Genomic DNA, 20332 nt, shown 5'->3' with positions numbered 1-20332 from the left:
AAGATGTGTCCACTAGCTATTGCTGAGTAACACACCACCCCAGATTTTAGTTGCTCAAAGCAAAAGTCATTATTTAGCTCAAACTTTGGGGGATGGACAAATTAAGATTGGCTCAGGCAGGTCATTCTCTGGTCTTCTCCACAGCCAGCTACAGATCAGCTAGGAGGCTCTGCTTCAGGAAGCTGGGTACCATTGGCTTGGAAAATAAGGGTGACCAGGCCATGTGCTTATTCACTCAGTGGCAGCAATTTCAAGAGAATGCACAGAGGTGTGCAAGGTCTCTTGAGGCCTAGCCTAGGCTCAAAGCTAGCATGGCATCACTTGAGGGTTTTTTTTTTTTTTTTTTTTTGAGACGGAATTTCACTCTTGTTGCCCAGGCTGGAGTGCAATGGTGGGATCTCAGCTCACCACAACCTCCACCTCCCGGGTTCAAGCGATTCTCCTGTCTCAGCGTCCCGAGTAGTTGGGATTACAGGCATGTGCCACCACGACTGGCTAATTTTGTATTTTTAGTAGAGATGGGGTTTCTCCATGTTGGTCAGGCTGGTCTCGAACTCCCAACCTCAGGTGATCCACCTGCCTCGGCCTCCCAAAGTGCTGGGATTACTTGAGGTGTATTCTATTAGTCGAAGCAAGACATTGGATGTATGCAGGGTGAAGGGTTGGAGGACTAGATTCCATGTCCTGATAGGAGAAGCTACAAAAATCACATTACAAAGGAGTGTAATATAGCAAGGAGAATAACTGAGGTAATTTATTGGTAAACTATCTCCATCAAGGCCATTTTTGATGTCCTGGTGGGAGATAGTGGTTGCAGACTGGGGTGGGAGGTGGAGGGGGTGTGACTCGGTCAGAGCTTTTACCCACTTTCAAGGTTGATGCAACAGGATTTCTTGATAGATAGGCATGGCACGAAAAGGAGGAAAGGAGAGGAGGCAGGGATGGGCCTGAGGTTTTCGGCCTGAGCCCCTAGAATGATGGAGTTGCCATACCCAGATTAAGGGGAGATTGTATGTGGAACAGATTTTTGAGAGAAGATCAGGAATTGAATTTTGATCATGTTACTTGACATGTCTGCTAGATATATGGGTAGGAATGTGATATAGGCAGTTTGATATCGAGGGTAAAATTTGAGAGATAGTTTCAGGCTGGAGTCATCAGATTATAGCTGATATTTAAAATGATGGGACCAAACAATATCACTTCAGGCATGACTAAAGATAAAGGAAAGGACCACGAATCGAGACCTGGAAAGAATACACTCATACTAAAGTTCATGCTAATGCTTCAGTGTACTGGGAGTTCAAGAAGAAGAAGAAGAACCAGGAATGGAGACTGAGAAGGGGCAGCCAGTGATACAGGGAAAAAGCAGACAGAAAGAGTGCAGTGTCTTTAGAGGTCTACAGAAGAAAGTGAATTGAAGCACAAGAAATGATTCACTTTGCCACATACTGCTGACAGGTCACATGAGATCACTGCCAGCCAGATCATTTGAGATCTTTGTAAAAACAAACTGAGACTTTTTTGTCATTTTGTCTATCAAAAAAAATTTCCATCTTGGTTGTCACAAGAGTAGCAGTAGTAGTAGTACAGTAGTATACTAGTAACAGTATATTAGTAACAGTAATAATAGTAGTAACAATAGTGTTGTAATAGTAGTAGCAATGTAATAATAGCAGTAGTAGCAGCAGCAACAATAGCAGAAGCATGCTTAGGCACCGCTCCATGTGCTTTGTATGGATTATCTCATTGAACCCTCCCAGTAATCCTCTTTTAAATTAATGAGGAAACTGAGGTACAGAAATGTTAACTAATTTTCCCAGAGCCAGTAAGCGATGGATCCATAATTAAAATACAGACATTCTGATTCCGGGGCCTTCCCCCTCATTACTCTACTATACTAAGGATGTAGGAACAATGGCCTCCTTTGTGCCATGGTTGCAACAGATTACATTTTAGGCATCAGATTCTATCATAACTTACTATGAAAGCCAGGTTTCTGATCCTGTAACAATTCTAACATACCTTTTTCTTATTTACTAGCTTAATTATCTCCATCTCAATCTAAAACCAATTGGAAGCAGCCTTTACCAATTACATAGTATAAACAGAGCAAGAAGAGTAAGTGATGGGATAGAGTAGACTCTTTGATTCCATCTGTCATTCTAACACCTGGCATACTCATGGGACAGAAATGATAACTTTTATTTCTTTAAAATTTGAAAACCAGACTCAAAATGTGATATGGAAATTTTAACAAACTCTTTCATAATTATCCATGTTTTTAATAGAATTAATGGCAAGTTTCCTATGTCACTTAAGCGTAAACACAGTCTCAATTTTTGCACTGCATATAATAAAATGTTATCCTTGAATGAAAACATATTGTAATTGTGGATAGTACAAAGAATGATTAAAATTTGTTCCCATTCAAATTTGGCCTAAGTGTTACTCGTGTTTATTTTATGTTTCTCTAAAATAGATGCAAATGCAATCCCTAGTCATTCTAATAATGGAAATGCTTCAACAGAGTACAAAAATATGCCTTAAGCCATATATTATTTTAGTCATAGTGGCCATTTAAATCCATTTTTGAAGTGATAAATGGCAAATTATAGTGGAATATCCAGGTGGAAATGTCTGCAGCCAGAGAGGTAAGCATCTATAACATTGGTTCTGTGTTGCCCACCTACAGCAAAGTGTGGTGGGCATAGTGTGATTTCAACCTACTCAAAGACAGAAGACAAAAGTTAACACAAACTCATATTCCTACCTTCAAATTCTTCAAATACTATGAATACTTTCAAAGTCTGTCCCACCTGGGATATATTTTCAATGGGGAGATATATATATATATATGTGTGTGTGTGTATATATACATATATGTGTATATATAGTTCAACAATGGATATATTTTCAATAAAATTTCAAATGTAACATGTCTAAAAGGAAGAACGTTCTTAATGTTTCTTTTTGCCTCTACCCTCTCAGATCTCTAATTCATTCTTCAACAACACCATTGAATCAATCATATTATAGCTTTATTCTGTGTTGTTTCTCTTCTGAAAATTAATGACTGCCTATTGTCTACAAGTTCCATACAGTTCCCCCTAGCTTGGGCAGGTTGGCTAGTTAGGGCAACAGCCTTTCCCAACACTTCTTCACTGACATTCTCACCAGAAAGGCTGGAAAGCAGATAGATTTTTTTCTCTACCTATCTTTCAACTACAAGTGGCACTGACTAATTTTTGGACAATGAGATAGAACTACTGAGGGATTTTGAGAAAGCCTTTGGTTTTCTGATAAGAAAAACATATGTGGTTGTTGCTATGTTTTTTCTACTTCCTGTCTTGAATATAAATGTAATGCCTGAAGCTTCCGCATCTATCTTATGACCATGAGGAAATGAATATGGGTTAAAATTCCCTAAGGATAGCAGAGCATAAGTGGAAAGATTCTGGTCCATCAGAAATCTGGGGAGCTGTTGACACACCTTGGGACTGCCATTCTGGACTTCTTTTTAGAAAAACAACAAATATGTTTATCATTTCAATCAGACTTTGCTTCTTTTTTTTCTTTCTGAGGCTGAGTCTTGCTCTGTCACACAGACTGGAGTGCAGTGGCACCATCTCGGCTCGCTGCAACCTCTGCCTCCTGTGTTCAAGCGATTCTCATGCCTCAGCCTCCCAAGTAGCTAGGGCTACAAGAGTGCGCCACCATACCTGGCTAATTTTTGCATTTTTAGAAAGAGATGGAGTTTCACCATGTTGGTCAGCCTGGTCTCAAACTCCTGACCTCAAATGATCTGCCCACCTTGGCCTCCCAAAGTGCCGCGATTACAGGCATGAGCCACCACGCTTTGCCAGATTTTGCTTCTTATGGATGCCATTATTTCTAGCTAATTCATTTTGGCATTCAGATACCCACACTATCCAATTTGAAGCTATCATTTCATACACCTCTACCTTTACTTGGCTACTGAATCCCCACAAAAATCTTCACTAGTTTCCATTATCTAGAACACTTCCTGGACTTTCCTGCTTTAGCAGCTTAGCTAACATTCTTTCCTCCCCTCAAAATTCCTTTTTTTTGGTATTCTTCCACCAACAGTGACCTCCCTTCTCTGTCTCTACTCTTGCTGTATAGTCTTCAAAGTCCAGCTTACATTTCATCTCCCTGATGAAAACTTTTCATGATCTGTCTGGAGGTTACACAGGTGAATTCCTATGGAACTTGGCTCTGTACAGCTAAAGATCACACCAAACCCCAGAATATAATTACTGATGAACATGTCATCTCATCTTTAAATTGTAGTCGACTGAAATTGGATTGATACATTATTTTTTTCCCCTTAGGGAGGGGTTGGACTTTGGTATTCAATCAATTTTTATTTCTTAAATGAGTGGATAAATGAACAAAGGAAACAGATAATAAGTGTCCAAAGTATAAAGTAGGTTAGGAGTACCAGAACTGAGAAGTGGGGAAATAGACAGGACTCCATAGATAGAGTCAAAGGACAGAGTATTTTATTACTGTAAAGAGGTCATGAAAAGTTTCATCTAGGTACAGAACAACAAAATGAGGTTTTGGTCAATGCAAGAAATGGAATAACTCTTTGGTCTCAAGTCACATTTTGACTGTAGTGTGTGGTGAGATTTTGTGCATTAGTTGTTTTTTTACATTTAATGGGAACTGGGCACATAATTCTATAAACCCTAAAAGGAGAACTGGGCCCATAAAATATTCTAATTAAAAACTGTATTCTTTGTGGTTTTATTCACATGTTTTCTTTGTATTATAATCTAATATGCTTGCTTAGAAAAACACATTTCATTGTTCTTGAGTCATATTCCCATCTTGAGTTTATTAAACTTGAATTAAAATAAATTACTCTAAAAACAAGGCTATATTTTCAACATTTGTACTTGAAAAACCTTTGAAACTAAATGATATGGTTTTGTGGTGTCCCCACCCAAATCTCATCTTGAATTGTAGTTCCCACAATCCCCACATGTCATGGGAGGGACTTGGTGGGAGGTAATTGAATGATGGGGTCAGTTACCCCCATGCTATTCTTGTGATAGTGAATGAGTTCTCACAAGAGCTGTTGGTTTTATAAAGGGCTTCCCCCCACCCTTCACTCTGCACTTCTCCTTGCTACTGCCATGTGAAGAAGGATGTGTTTGCTTCCCCTTCCTCCATGATTATAAGTTTTCTGAGGCCTCCCCAATGATGCAGACATGTGAGTCAATTAAACTTCTTTCCTTCATAAATTACCCAGTCTTGGGTATTTCTTCATAGCAGTGTGAGAACAAACTAATACACTAAATAAAGTTAAAATTAAAAACATTAAGCAAATCTAAGTCTTAAAAATGGTAAGGCCTCGCCCATCTCAAATATAGATATTTGTTACAGCAGCATGGTTTTCATTTTTGTCTTTTGGTCTTTTCCAGTTGGAGAGGTTTGATTAATGTTATGTTAAATGCCTAATATTATGTAATAAATTAAGTTACTCATGCTGTGCCTAGCCCCTTCGCACCTACTTCTAGCAGCAAAAGGTAGCTGAGGATAAACAACTCCATGAGGGGAAATTCACTATACATATGTTCAAACAAATATATCCATGGTATCAAAGAGGGAGAGGGGGGGAAAAAAGCTTTCAGAGAAAATATTTCAAATATTTGTCTTTCTCTTCCTATTATATTTTATACGTATGTATTACAGAAGAAAAAAACGCTCAGCAAATTAAGAAAGCCCACTAGTAATCCCTAAGGACACTGTCACTACTAGGTCTTGATGACAGGCAACATTCTGAAGAAATATATCTAAATCATGGACTTTTTTTTTTTTTAAGTTAAGAAAACCAGAAAAGTCATAGGTCCTGATTACAGATTCTGGCACAATTTCAATGACAGTTTTTAAACATAATGTCCTCTTAGTTGTAAACCCACATATGGGTCCTTTATTGGTGAAGTTCAGAGCCAATTTCTTCATGCAAGCCTGGAACCCTATCTACTCCTTTCTGATCTTTCAACAGTTTTCAAGGAGTCGGCCTTCTTTCTTTCCAGAAAGCAATCACCCATTCTTTCAACTTCATGTCACTAACATTACTCATCACAGTGGAGGAACAGACGAGGGTAATTATAATTTTTTTTAATTTTGGAAAGAGCCCAAGTACTAAATGTCTTTCAAATTTGTGTAGTTCCCTACTCTATGACTGTTAATTTTCTCGATGTCATTGAAAGTTTCCTTTGTTTGTTTATTTATTCATTCGCTCTTTCATTCAACAAGTGTTTATCAAGTACCTACTATGTGCCAGGCACTGTTTTGGACTCTGGGGACATATCAGTGGACAAAATCTTAAGAAAGTGTGCATTCTAGAGGGGAGAAATGATTATAAACAGACCAACTAAAAACAAAATCCAATCTACCAAGTAATGATAAGTGATATGAGAAAAACAAGCCGAGTTCGTGGAAAAGAGAAAGCTGGGTGGGAGGGCTGCTGCTTTGTATTGGGTGGTCAGTGAATACTGCTCTGATACTATTCATTGAGCAGGACCTGAAGGAAGTGAGGGGTGCATTATGCAGATATCTGGGAAAAGATCCATTTAGGCAGAGGAAACAGGAATTTAAAAGGTCCTGAGTGTGCTTGATGTGTTCAGGGAACGGCTGGACCACTGTGGCTGGAGCAGAATGTGCAATGTGTTCGAGGATGGAGGAAATGACATCAAATAAAACAGAGCTGGGACCAGACCTGGGCCTTGGTGTCCACTTTAAGGGCTTTGACATTTATTCCAAGTGAGATGGGAAGCTATGGAAGAACTTTTAGCAGTGAAGTGACATGATCAGATTTAAGTTTTAAAAGGATCATTTTAACTTTTACATTGAGCCACAGACTGTAGGGTTAAGTTCATAAACAGGGAGAACAGTTTTAAATCCATTGTAATAGTGCAAATGCTAGATGAGTTATTGTCTCAGAAATGTACACATTCAGGCTGGGTGCGGTGGCTCACACCTGTAATCGCAGCACTTTGGGAGGCCGAGGCAGGCAGATCACTTGAGGTCAGGGGTTCAAGACCAGCTTGGCCAACATGGTGAAACCCTGTCTCTACCAAAAATATAAAAAAATAGCCGGGTGTGGTGGCACACGCCTGTAATCCCAGCTACTCGAGAGGCTGAGGCAAGAGAATTGCTTGAACCCAGGAGGCGGAAGTTGTAGTGAGCCAAGATAGCGCCATTGCACTCTAGCCTGGGCAACGGAGTGAGACTGTCTCAAAAAGAAAAAAGAAAAGAAAAGAAAGAAATATATACATTCAGTCCAGTCTGGGTTAGATATTTAACCATGATGCTTACCTCATAGCCAGCTTTTGGGTTTAGTATTTTCTCAGAATCATTCATAACCTTCCCTGATCTCATTTCTGTACATGGACCAATCTCTTCCTAATCCAACTATACCCAAGATAGTCCCTATGAAACCATCCTAGGGGAGAAACATTCAACCTTTTGGCTCTCAAAAATTTTTCTTCTGGGCTTCAAATGTTTTTTGCAGGAAACTTGCATTTGTAACTTTTTCTTTCTTCATCCTTTTAAAAATTCTTTTGGTTTTACCTGTAGCACATTCAATCATATGTTACCAAAGTCAGTTCTGGCTTTATTTGGAACTCAGTCTCCTTACCTGTTGCCTGAAATGAGTCTTTCTGCACCTGGTATGTGTCCTGTGGTGGATGACATCCTCCTAGGGGCACTAGTGCCTCATTCTTTAGCATTCTCTGAATTTTCTTGCTACCTCTACCCCTTATATCTCCTTAAAAGCTCGTATTTCCAGTCTGAGAGATGTTGCTGATCCAGAACTCCTTTTACAAAGAATAATGATTGACAGGCCTTGAGCCTTAGTTCCATTTTTCAGTTCTGACCACCTTCTCCCATTACCTATGCCAGAGGTTTCTGGCTACATACCAGCCATATTAGCTCACAGTGTGTTCTCTTTAGCCCATACGGTGCTTTTAAAATTGTTTGAATAGGCCGGGCGCGGTGGCTCACGCCTGTAATCCCAGCACTTTGGGAGGCCGAGGCGGGTGGATCATGAGGTCAGGAGATCGAGACCATCCTGGCTAACAAGGTGAAACCCCGTCTCTACTAAAAATACAAAAAAATTAGCCGGGCGCGGTGGCGGGCGCCTGTAGTCCCAGCTACTCGGGAGGCTGAGGCAGGAGAATGGCGTGAACCTGGGAAGCGGAGCTTGCAGTGAGCCGAGATTGCGCCACTGCAGTCCGCAGTCCGGCCTGGGCGACAGAGCGAAACTCCGTCTCAAAAAAAAAAAAAAAAAAATTGTTTGAATAGTTGCTGACACTTAAAAATGATGAGGTTTATATAAAAACTGATTTTTTTTTTCACTTCTCTTGAAAAATGGGAAGACGTGGCCAAACCAGGTGTGTATGATTCTATGGCAACAGTCAACCAGAGCTGAGTAGTCATTTGACAGGGTGCTCTGCAGTTCCCCGCAGCCTCAGCCAGCCTGGTGCATGCTCCATTAAATTCCCTGCCTGCTGGTCCCTCTAGACATTTAAGTGTGACACTTATGGTTTCCGTTCCCATTCTCCCACATCCCACTATCCTTTCCAGATTATTCTAGGGCCCTCCAATGCCCCTGAAGAATTATTCAGGACAATGAAAGAAATCTTTTAGAATTATATTTTAAAATAAAAATAACACCTCCCAACATATGGAAAACAATAAGAGACATAACTTTCACATAGAAAAGAGTGACCAACTTCTCATATATTTTCAAAATAATAATCTAAATAGATTCTGGTTAGTTGTCCAATTTAGTGCAACCTGGGAAACCATTGGACATAAACTCTGACTTTCCCCTAAGCCTAGCCCTCCCCGACCCCGGGCTCCTCTAGCAAAGCCTTCTGAAATAGGATTTATGAGATGACCAACAATGCAACGAAACTGTGGACAAAGATACTGACATTAGATTTGCCATGGCCACTCATGACAAAGTTTCTATTGGCTTTTGGCCCATTTTCAGATGTCTGTATGATGAGAGATAAATTCTCGAATATCCCATTAGAGTTACTAAGCAGCCCCCCCATTCAGTGGAGTATACATATATAAAGATTCTATTTCTTCCAGTCACTGCCTTTAGCCATACCTAATTCATTCTCTGTTTCTTGTCACTTTATACTATCTGGGATAGATTCCATAAATTTCCAGTCATGCTGAGCCATTAAAACTCTGTTATTTTAAAGCATCAACCTCAAATTTGATTTAAGTCTCTTCCCTCCTTTGGATCTTTCTTGTATGGTTTTTCAGAGGGCTGTGCAGACCCTTTTGCTCCACAGTTTCTTAACCAGGAGATCCAGCTTGAACTCCACCTCTTCTTCCTACCATCATCAGCACATGCCCCCACCACAAAGCTTCTTGTTACTGCCCTCCCCCAATCCCTGCACTTACTCAGGCAACCACCTTGTGGGCAGGGCAAGATGTCTACAACCTGGCTATTTTCTGACCCAAAGTCAACTCACTCATCTTTGCCACAAACAGTGGTAGGGCAGATCAGAACCCTCTCCTTCCTAGTGTTTCTCTTTAGGTGCTTCTTCCCCCAATTCAGATTTACGTAGAGACAAATTAGCCAGTTCATGACCTAAGCAGATGTTTAACCAGGACATCCATCCATTCCACTGAGGTTGCCAATCTTGCAGGCCCCCAGCCTCTGAGCTCTTCTGTCTTGCCTTGGTGAGGAGAAAGGAGGTGAATCATCTCTTCTCTCTGTGGGGAGGGGAGGTGAATCATCTCTCATTCCAAATCCTACAGATTCTCCAGTTTCTCCATTGAGGCTCACACTTTCCTCTCTCCGTTCCTTTTTCATAAAGACAAAATTGGGGAACAGTCACATGTGGTAGGCTCAGCTTTGCAGACTCTATGGAAGGCTTGAGGAACGTCTCATGATTGGCTGCTCTCTTCAGAAAAAAAGGGGCTTTACAATTTCACACATGTTGTTCTGTGTTATGAGCCTTGGTGCCAAGTCTGGAGAAACCCTGTTCAACATCTTGTTACACTCTTCTCTTTAGGCTGGCTGAATCAGCTGGGGTCTACCACTGAGTGGCAGAAAACTTGACCCAAAATGGCCCTGGCAATGAGGAAGTATGTTGTATCACTTAACTAAAAAGTCCAAATGGGAAGATCTGGCTTCAGGCCATATTGATTCCTGGTTCAAAGGACATCTCCTGGTCCCTAGCTCCACTTCATTTCCTCTGGATGAAGAAATAGTAGATGGAAGAGTTGTGGGGTCCTTGCGGAGGCCCCCAAGTTTCACATCATTACAAGCCAGCTTTCCCAGTTGTGCAAACAAAAGTCCTGGAAAATGACTTGGGTTGTGTGCCTATCCCTGATTGTCTCACAGTGCTCAGTGATAGCTGATGCCACTCTGAGGGTCAGTTGAAGTTTGTAAATAACTTCACTCCATTCCTTCTAACCTCTTTTGGTATCCATCAAAGAAGGCCATGGATTTTCCAGATCAAAATGTGTCCAAACATAAATTGAGGGCATTAGATACATGCTAGGACCTGAGTTGAAGGTATGGGCTTGGTAACATAATGTAGCTATTTCTGGGTTTCAGACGGGCATAAAGATTAGTAAGATTAGTTAAAAATGTAGGGCCTTAGAGTAAGACAGGCCTGGATCCAAATGATTGCTTCACCAGAGCAAGAAACCTTGGATAAGTACTTAATTTCTCTTGAGACTCAGTTTCCCCAATTAGAAAATGGGAGTATTGAGAATACCCAAATCATTGGGTTGTTAAAAGGATGAAATAAAATACCTGGCACAATTATTATATTTCTTAATATATAAACATATGTTATATAATAAATATGATATATTAATATATGTATTATTCTGTTCTCATGCTGCTATGAAGAAATACCTGAGATTGGGTAATTTATAAGGAAAAGAGGTTTAATTGACTCACAGTTCCACGTGGCTAGGGAGGCCTCAGGAAACTTACAGTCATGGCAGAAGGGGAAGCAAACACATCCTTCTTCACAAGGCAGCAGGAGGAAGAAGTGCCGAGCAAAGAGGGAAAACCATCTTATGAAACCGTCAGATCTCATGAGAACTCACTCAATATCACAAGAGCAGGGTGGGGGTAACCTCCCCCATGATTCATCCACCAGGTCCCACCCACAACACACTGAGATTATGAGAACTACAATTCAAGATGAGATCTGCATGGGGGCACAGCCAAACCATATCAATATACAATTTATATAATAATATAACATATATTATTATACAATGTCTGGCACAAGGAGATGCACAATAAGTACTATTTTTGTTGCTAAGTACTTTCTCCTCCGGGCACACAGAGCAATACTGTGGAAAACCATGCTAAATTATGAAGGATTTTCCTTGTAGTTTCTAGAAGTGGCCAATTTGATAGTTATCCCAGGCAGTAAGCAAATTATCCTGCCATTTCTCCTATTATTATTTGTAAATAGCAAATGGAGAACCTAGTATGAGAGATGGAGGGTGAAGGAGACTTAAGTATATGAATTGTCTTAAGCACTGATGTGTTTGTGTATATGCATATATATATATCTGCATACGTGTATATGGATATATATGTATAGATGTGTGTATGTGTATATATGTACATGCATACATATGTATAGATGTGTGTGTGTGTGTGAGACTAAGATGTTTATGCTAGGATTATGCTAGCAGAGATTCATTGATCATTTCTCAAAAGTAACACAGGATACTTTGCAGGCTATGCCAAATTTGAGACACATATGAATTTAGCAACACTGCAAGATGTTGCTGAGGCCTTCTACTCTTAGATATGTTTCCACAAAAAGAGGAAAATCAAGGCATTTTTGTGGTGTCATTTAAAGCGAAGCAATCTTGCTCAAATTTAATATTTAAGTAAATTGTAAAAATACTGACGACATAAATTCACTTTTCTAAAATGCATTTTTAACATTTATTTATTTACGATATTTTTTTTTTTAATTTTTTGAGATGGAGTCTTGCTCTGTCACCCAGGCTGGAGTGCAATGGCACGATCACAGCCCACTGCAACTTCCACCTCCTGGGTTCAAGCGATTCTCCTGCCTCAGCCTCCCAAGTAGCTGCGATTACAGGCATGCGCCACCATGCCCTGCTAATTTTTATATATTTAGTACAGGAGGGGTTTCGCCATGTTGGCCAGGCTGGTCTCAAACGCCTGATCTCAGATGATCCACCTGCCCCGGCCTCCCACAGTGCTGGGATTACAGGTGTGAGCCACCGTGCCCAACCAAAATTTATTTTTTTAAATAAATAATACTAGAATTATGCTTGAGAGATTTCTTTTTTATATCAACTAAAAACTGTGACTTTCTGTGATCTAAAATTTTGTTTCTTTGGGAGACAGTAACAATGAAGGTAATCTTCCCAAGTATACTACATGAATTATGTTGAAATATTTGGTGTAACTACATAAATATAAATGTAACAAGAGCCTTTTATTTCCAAAATGAGATTCAATTTATTTTAAGAATAAGATATCAACTAGCACCCTCTTGTGGAAATGATTATTTTAGATATTGGAAAAGAAAATCTTACACAAGCAGCATGGTGGCACACCTATCATAGATGTATTTTTTTCCACACACTCTTGATGACTTCAAATTAATTGTATACTTTTGTTTATACACAGAGTCTAGGAGAAGATGTTAACATGCAGCACAGTGATGACTGCAGATTTATTCTCAAGACATTTTTTTCTTAAGTAGATCTTCAGCTGTCATCTGATTCAATTAGTCTAAGAATTTTAATTTATATTTCACTTCAAAAGGTTGAACTAGATAAGTACACAGAAATACAAATAAAAGTACTTTTTACAAGCTTTAAAACTGTGGTGTCCCCTATCTGTATTTTTTTCCTCTAGCATCTGCCTTGCCAAAAGTTCTCTTGATGCCTCCTCCCCGGGGGATAGGTTCTGACCCAGACCTGAACCAGTTCTGACCAAATGTGAAATCCTCCAGGAATGTCAGCCACCCTTCCTACCTCCAATTTTTATTGATTGATTGTTTTGAGACAGGGTCTTGCTCTGTCATCCAGGCTAGAGTGCTGTGGCATGACCATAGCTCACTGCAGTCTTGCACTCCTGGGCTCAAGCAATCCTCCTGCCTCAGCCTCCCAAGCAGCTAGGACTACAGGCATGCTCCAACATGCCCATGCTTTTTTTTTGTAGAGATGAGGATTTCATTATGTTGCCCAGGTTTGTCTCAAACTCCTGGTCTCAAGCGATCTTCCCGCCTCAGCTTCCCAAAGTGCTGAGATTACAGGTATCAGCCATCACACCCGGCTCACCTCCACCTTCTTAGTGGCCAGTCACCTTTCCTATATGAGAGTATATAAAAAAGAACAGTCACACTTGTCTAAGAGTGAAAGTAATTCTTGGGCTTAGAATTTTCTGGTACTCAAGCTATTCAAAGATAGGATGTTTAACTGCTTAGTAGGCAATTGACAGAATGTGTTCAAGTTCAGTTAGTTATTTGGGCTCAATAATCTTCATGGTCCCTTCCAATCTGACATTCTAAAGCCTTTCTATTTAGTCTAATGGCCAGTGCCTCTGAATGAACTAATCACTGCCATTGCTCCTCTTTTATTTCTGAGATGGTCATGAAGATTTTAACATAGTCCTTGCAGCATTGGTCTGTATCTTCCCCCGAAATTATTCTTTCAAGTAAACCATCAGGACCTTCAAAGGGCCATTCAAAGTGCACATTAGGCCAGACAAGGTGATGCATGCCTATAATCCCAACACCTTAGGAGGCTGAGGCAGGAGGATTGCTTGAGCTCAGGAGTTTGGGACCAGCCTGGGCAACATAGGGAGACCTTATCTCTACAAAAGTAAAAATAAAAAACATTAGCCAGGTGTGGTGGTGTGCATCTGTGGTCCCAGCTACTTGCAAGGCTGAGGCAGGAGGATGGCTTGAGCCCAGGAGGTTGAGGCTTCAGTGATCCATAATCACACCACTACATTTCAGCCTGGGTGACACAGCAAGACCTTGTCTCCAAAAAACAAACAAACAGAAAACAAACCAGTGCATATTTATTAGGGAACTCGGCCATAATAGTGACATGAGGCCCTTTAATCATTAGTTTTAAACAATTATAAATAATCAAGGAATATATAGGTTATCTCCAGCAGATAATTGTCAGGTATAATTAAGGGTGAGATGCTGATTCAGACAGAGAAATGTGTAACGTAGAAGGCATAGGGGCACATATTCAAGGGAGACATGAAGCATCCTGAGATGAAGGACAAGTGTGGGATTTGGGGTACAAACAATCCAATTCAAACGCTGGTTCTGTTTGTTGTTACATGAATGGCCCTAGGTATCTGAGACTCCCATATCTGTCAAATAAGAATGATTGTATTTACCTCACAGGGTTGTTGTAAGAATTAAATGGCATAAAAAACAATGAGAAGCACAGAGCATAATACTTAATCCAAGAAGGCTCTCAAAAACTGCTAGCTTTACTTTTTTGTTTGTTTGTCTTTTTCTTCCTTCAGCCTTTATTTTTGTGTGTGTGACAGAGTCTCATTCTGTTGCCCAGGCTAGAGTGCAGTGTCAATGCTCACTGTAGCCTCAAACTTCTAGACTCAAGCCATCCTCCTGCCTCAGCCTCTCGAGTAGCTAGGACTGTAGGTGTGCACTACCAAGCCTGATTACTTTTTAAAATTTTTGGTAGAGATGGGGGTCTCACTGTGTTGCTCAGGTTGGGCTAGCTTTTCTTATGGCCAGAAAGGGTCCTTGATGTTTAAGGATTTAATAGCCAGGGGCTGGGGGCAGGGGGGACAAACTAAACAAATATTTCATATATGAAATTAAATTGTGTTCACTGATTATCCCTGATAACCTTACCTGATGAATCAGGGGACGAGATCTCCATCTTCCCTAATATTTTACAATATTTTTCTAATAATCTTTGATTACTGATTGGGGCACATTTTTATCTCTCAGCATTTAGATTCAGACAGTGTGAGTGCTCTTAGCTAACTTGGACTCATATGTTTGTGTGAGCAGATCTTTGTAAGTTTGACCTCCCTAGCCTTTGCATTAAGGACATCTCTGAAAGCTGAAAGCAAACACTTTTAGGAAACAACAGCTTCTCTTCTCTACAGTGAGGAATCCCTGGAAACCTTGGTAGTTGAGCCCTGACTATTCAATAATTCAGTTAACTACGGAATTGGTTAGGTCTATAAACTTGGTGATCACAGTTCATGCTAGGAATTCACTTCTGAAGACTTAGTAGTATTCAAAGGATGCATAATTTAAGACATACTGTTGAAGGATAGTATTTGTAATTTATTAGCTAAAGTAGTATCACCATGTGGCAAGAACAAAAATAGCATGTATTCAGACAGCACGTTTTAAAAGTAGCAATTTCTTATTAATTTTTAATTGATTTTGATAATTTTGTTGATTTTAATGAATTTATTTTCATTTTAGTTACCATTGTTCAAAATGTTATACAAAACTAAACTTTTACTGTTTTTTATTTGGATGACTTCTAGTACATGCAATTCAAATATACATAAAAGGCAATAACCCTGTAATTTAATTTTTGTGATAAGAACTTAATGTTAAAATGGATTCCTGAAGCTAAGTGAAATGTGATGATGGCTGGACTTGGATAATGTTAAATAAGTATTAGGTTGCTTTGCTTTGTTTAGCACTCTACTTAATAATTTGATTGATTCCCTGAGTGAAAATAAATAGATAAGGTGCTAGGAGAATTGACTAGCATTAAAAATGTAAAGGTGGGGTTTTATGGGCCATATAGCAGACTGACCACATGCTTATTTAAATAAAATTGAAGAAACTTCAACAGGACATATCCACAATGAGAGAGAAGAGATACATATATATATATGGAGAGAGAGAGAGAGAGAGAGAAAGAGAGAGAGAGAATGAGATTTCAGTGGATACCTGGAAGAGGAAAAGCAGCTGGAGGAATGGGATGGAGGGAGCTGGAACACAGTCTAGAGTGTTTAAACAAAGGGCTACAACTGAGAAGGCTCTGGTTATGCCTCCGAAACCTGGAGTGTGAGATAAAGCACAAAGGTGTGTGGGTGTGAGAATGCAGAGCAAAATATAGGAGTCAACTGAAGATATATACCTAGAAAAATTGACCCTAAATTCTCAGCCACTAACCTGTCAGTATGCATACAAATCCAGGTATCCAGACCCTTAGATCCTAAGAAACAAACTGGAATGATCTCTTTGGCTTTTATTTCATATAATGCTGTAGAAAAAGCCTGTCTGGCCACAATGGAGTAACATGGACCAGATTTACCCTTCTGGTTTAAACAACTAAGAAACTGGACAAAATACATGAAACAGCAGTTTGCAGGACACTGACCAACAGGGACTGAAGAACAGTGACTCCTGAGAGATGGAAAACCGATGAGGTAGACAATACAATTGGCACAGCTCACTGCTTGGTGAGAATTTCCAGATTGCAAATAAGAGAGAAACCAGGCAGAAACCAGTGGTTTCCTTGAATTAGGAAGAAGGAGATGAGAATCTGGGGAAGCCAAGTAAGCTAAACCACCAGAGAGGAGGGATGTGAACAGGAGGGGAGCTCTGGAGACATGCTGAGGGCTCCTTTAAGCATTCAGCTGAGTCCTGATCAGTACATGTGTGAGGAAACTACCCAAGGCCAGAGAAAGAACCAAGGTAGAGAATAAGGAAAAAAAATCCATAGAACTCACAGGTCCAGGATTAGTGCCTGTCCCTGGCAGCTGACTGGAAAAACCTCATAATTCACAAGATGTTGGGTAGAGTACTCAGAAGAATTCTGCCACAGTAGTGGGTAAAATTAACCCTAGACTAACACTGGCTTGATCCTGCTTAACAAGATATACAAGTAAATCCCAAAAGAGTTAATTTAGGATTGTTATGTCTTTTGCTTGAATGGGGCCTTTTATTATTATGTATTAATAATATCATGCTTTCTCTCTAATACTACATCTTGCCTTAAAATCTATTTTGTTCCATGTGAATATAGTCATATTGGCTTTTTTGGTTAGTGTTTACACCATGTATCTCCATTAATTTGTTTTCAATCTACCTGCTGTTTTCCCTAGCTTGATTTCCCTGTGCAAGCGTTTAGAAAATGTCCTTAAAGAAAAAAGCTAAAATGAATATGAGATTTGCCATGTGTGTTTTCCTTCTCTCAGGAACTTTAACCCTTGCTATCAGGTGCTTGCCGATGATAGTGGCAGAAGGCAGATAATGCCTAGGCAGTTGGGGTGGGTCCCCAGTGAAACCTGACCTTCAAGCTGGAAACTGTCCTAGGGATATCCTCCAACTGGATTGAGAACCCACCTTCCCATTTGGCGCACTTTCCTCTGATTGTTCCCCATTCTACACCTATTTTACACATATCTACCCTTTCCTAATTAGTTTTCTACACTGTCACGCCCATATTTGAGTGGCGTCTTCACTTTGACCTTTTTTGGATACTCACAAACCAATCAGCGCACACTCCCTATTCTGAGCCCATAAAAAGCCCCAAGCTCAGCCATATTGGGGAAATTTCCTGTCTTCAGGTAGGAGAACCAACCCCTACATCCCCTCTTTTTGCTGAGAGCTTTCCTTTTGCTTCATAAATTCAACTCCCCTCACTCTTTGATGTCTGTGTGCCTAATTCTTCCTGGTCATGAAACAAGAACCTGGACCTAGCTGAGCAAAGGAGCCAAAATCCTGCATCAAAGACAGTTGTTTAATACATCTTTTCACTTCTTACAGTTTTTGTGAAAAGGTAAGCATGAATCCAGCTACTCCATCATGACCAGAACTGGCATTGTCCCATCTACTATCTAGCTTCCAACATTTTTCTATTGTTTTCTCTCCTGGCCTCCTCATCCTTGTGGGTTTATGCCTTTTAACATCATTTTTCAGAGGGAGAAGAGGTAAACAGGTGCTCAACCTGCTGTGTTTAATCAGAAATCCTCATCTCTGCTCTGCTGGAGTTTTGCCTGAAATTGCACCTTTGTATCCTTGTTTGCTTTCTCCCCTTTCCCTACTTACCTTTCCCGCTTCCTTGCCAGTATTTCTGGGGAGCATTTCCTTAATAAATGACTTTGTTTTCGCATTTCAGGTGGTACTTCTGGGGAACCAGGCCTAAGGTAATTCAGCATACTGTAATATTCACCTCTTAAGTTAAAATGCATTTATATTCTATAACCATAATTTCCATGTTTATTTAAACTTGGTTGTATATTTAAATAGTTCGGTTTGCCATTGGTCTTTTTTACAATGGCTTTCACTTCAATTCCTGTTTGATTAGATTTTATTATATGGAAGGTTTCATAAGATAGTCCTATGTGTACTGTATTTCCCAAATTATTTCATATTTGCCTGCTGTCTTTATAGCTTAATGATAATATGTCTGAATGTAAGACATTTTAGGCTCAGTTTCTTTCCCTCAGCATTTTGCAGACAATGTTCTGTGCCTTTTGATAATAAATGTGACTGTGAAGAAATCACAAAGTAGCTCAATTTTCATTCAGGTGTAACTTTTTATATTCTTCCCAGATACCTGAAGACATTTTATTCTTAAAATCCAATAAAGACCAGGAAATATTTCATTAGGTTTCTAAATTTTACCGGAATACACTGTCCTTTGAATCTGTAATGTAAATTCCTCCTTTATTTAAGAAAGTTGTCTTCTATTATAACCTAAAATGTATGTCATATTCCATTTGCTTATTCTTACTCAGGGACACAGGTTAACTTTATATTCTGTGGGTTTTGTATCTATTCTCCCTTTATCATGTTATCTGTATTTGTTTAACCTATTTTCTTTTTTTCTGTGTTCATTGAAATTGACTCCAGTGTTTCCTCCAGAACTGCAGTTGAATCAATAGCTGCTAGCCAAGTGTGGCTATTTGAATTTAAATTCATTAAATAAATTATAAAGTTTAAAATTCAATTCCTTGACTCCACTAACCACACTTTAAGTGTTCAGTAGGCACTTGTGGATACTGTATTGAACAGCACAGTTACAGAACATCACGATCACTGCAGAAAGTTCTTCGGGACAGTGCTGTTCTCAAGCAATAATGAGTCTCTACCAGTGGTGGCATTTTTTTCCTCTTTCTCATTTATTTATTGCTTTCTTCTGTAATTGTTATCATATTAGTCCTTAATACTTTCTTATAACTTTTTATTTCTATGTTATGATTTTATCTTATCCTCAAAGTCTTCTTATACAAATTAGTGTCCTTGTAAACTCTTGGGGTGTGAAGTACACTAGGGAATTTTCCCTTTGGGAGGAGGTTTGCTTTCCACTAGAACATATCCTTTGGTCTATTATTTGCACACTACCTTTTTCATATTAGCTTTATTTATTTTGGGCTGAAATATATATTTTCCCTCCTTAAACTGGTTTATGTTTTTCCTGTTTGTTTCTCATTTTACTGAAACTTATTTGTCCAAACCTAGTTATCCTGCTGGTAATGTGGCTGAATTCTCCCTTACTTCTTTTCTCTTTTCCTTACTTTATGAACTACACTGCAATGGTCAGCAAATATGGCCTGTGGGACAAATTGGCCCATCTCCTCTTTTTGCAAATAATTTCACTGAAGCAGAGCTACACTCACTCTTTTGCTCTTTGCCTCTGGCTGCTTTCATGTGCAATAGCAGAGCTCAGTAGTTGTGACAGAGATCACACGGCTTGGGAAGTCTAAATATTTACAGTCTGGCCTTTTACAAAAAATTGTGCTGACCCCTGAAGTGCAGTGAAGAGTTATCTGTAGCCCAAGGGCATGGGGTAGGGTGAGAATAGACTTGGAAGACATCCTCCATTAGCCAAACTGGGCTGTTTCTCATTTGCAGTTTTGTTAAAGGTCTTCAGTCTGGGTTTACTTAGTGTCTTAGTTTGGGCTGCCATTACAAAGTACTATAGATTGGTTGGCTTATAAACAACATAAATTTATTTCTCACAGTTCTGGAGACTGGAAGTCTGAGATGAGGGTGCCAGTATGGTTGGGTTCTAGTGAGGGTTCTTCCGAGTTGCCAATGGACAACTTTCTTGCAGTATTCTCAAATAGAAGAGAGTGTAAGCAGGCTCTCTGGAGTCGCGTTTATAAGGGCATTAATCCCATTCATAAGGGCTCCACCCTCATGACCTAATTACCTCAAAATGCCCACCTTCAAATACCATCAGCTTGGGGGTTAGGATTTTAACCTATGCATTTTGGGGGGACACAGACATGCAGTTCATAACACATCACATCACCAGGTATATTCTCTTTCAGTCC

The 20332-nt window shown here is 39.7% G+C and overlaps 2 annotated features.

The window, feature by feature from the left end:
• Nucleotides 16034-16206: a transcriptional cis regulatory region, noted in NCBI's record as "candidate enhancer chr5.1276 targeted for multiplex CRISPR interference". NCBI's record gives its function as "positively regulates MOCS2 gene expression with high confidence in K562 cells {active_cell/tissue: K562}" and the evidence as "EXISTENCE:mutant phenotype evidence [ECO:0000015][PMID:30612741]".
• Nucleotides 17161-17619: a transcriptional cis regulatory region, noted in NCBI's record as "candidate enhancer chr5.1275 targeted for multiplex CRISPR interference". NCBI's record gives its function as "positively regulates MOCS2 gene expression with high confidence in K562 cells {active_cell/tissue: K562}" and the evidence as "EXISTENCE:mutant phenotype evidence [ECO:0000015][PMID:30612741]".

The sequence above is a fragment of the Homo sapiens genome, chromosome 5 (genome assembly GCF_000001405.40).
Source record: "Homo sapiens chromosome 5, GRCh38.p14 Primary Assembly".
NCBI lineage: Eukaryota > Metazoa > Chordata > Mammalia > Primates > Hominidae > Homo > Homo sapiens.
This window is presented reverse-complemented; position numbering and strand designations above follow the sequence as displayed.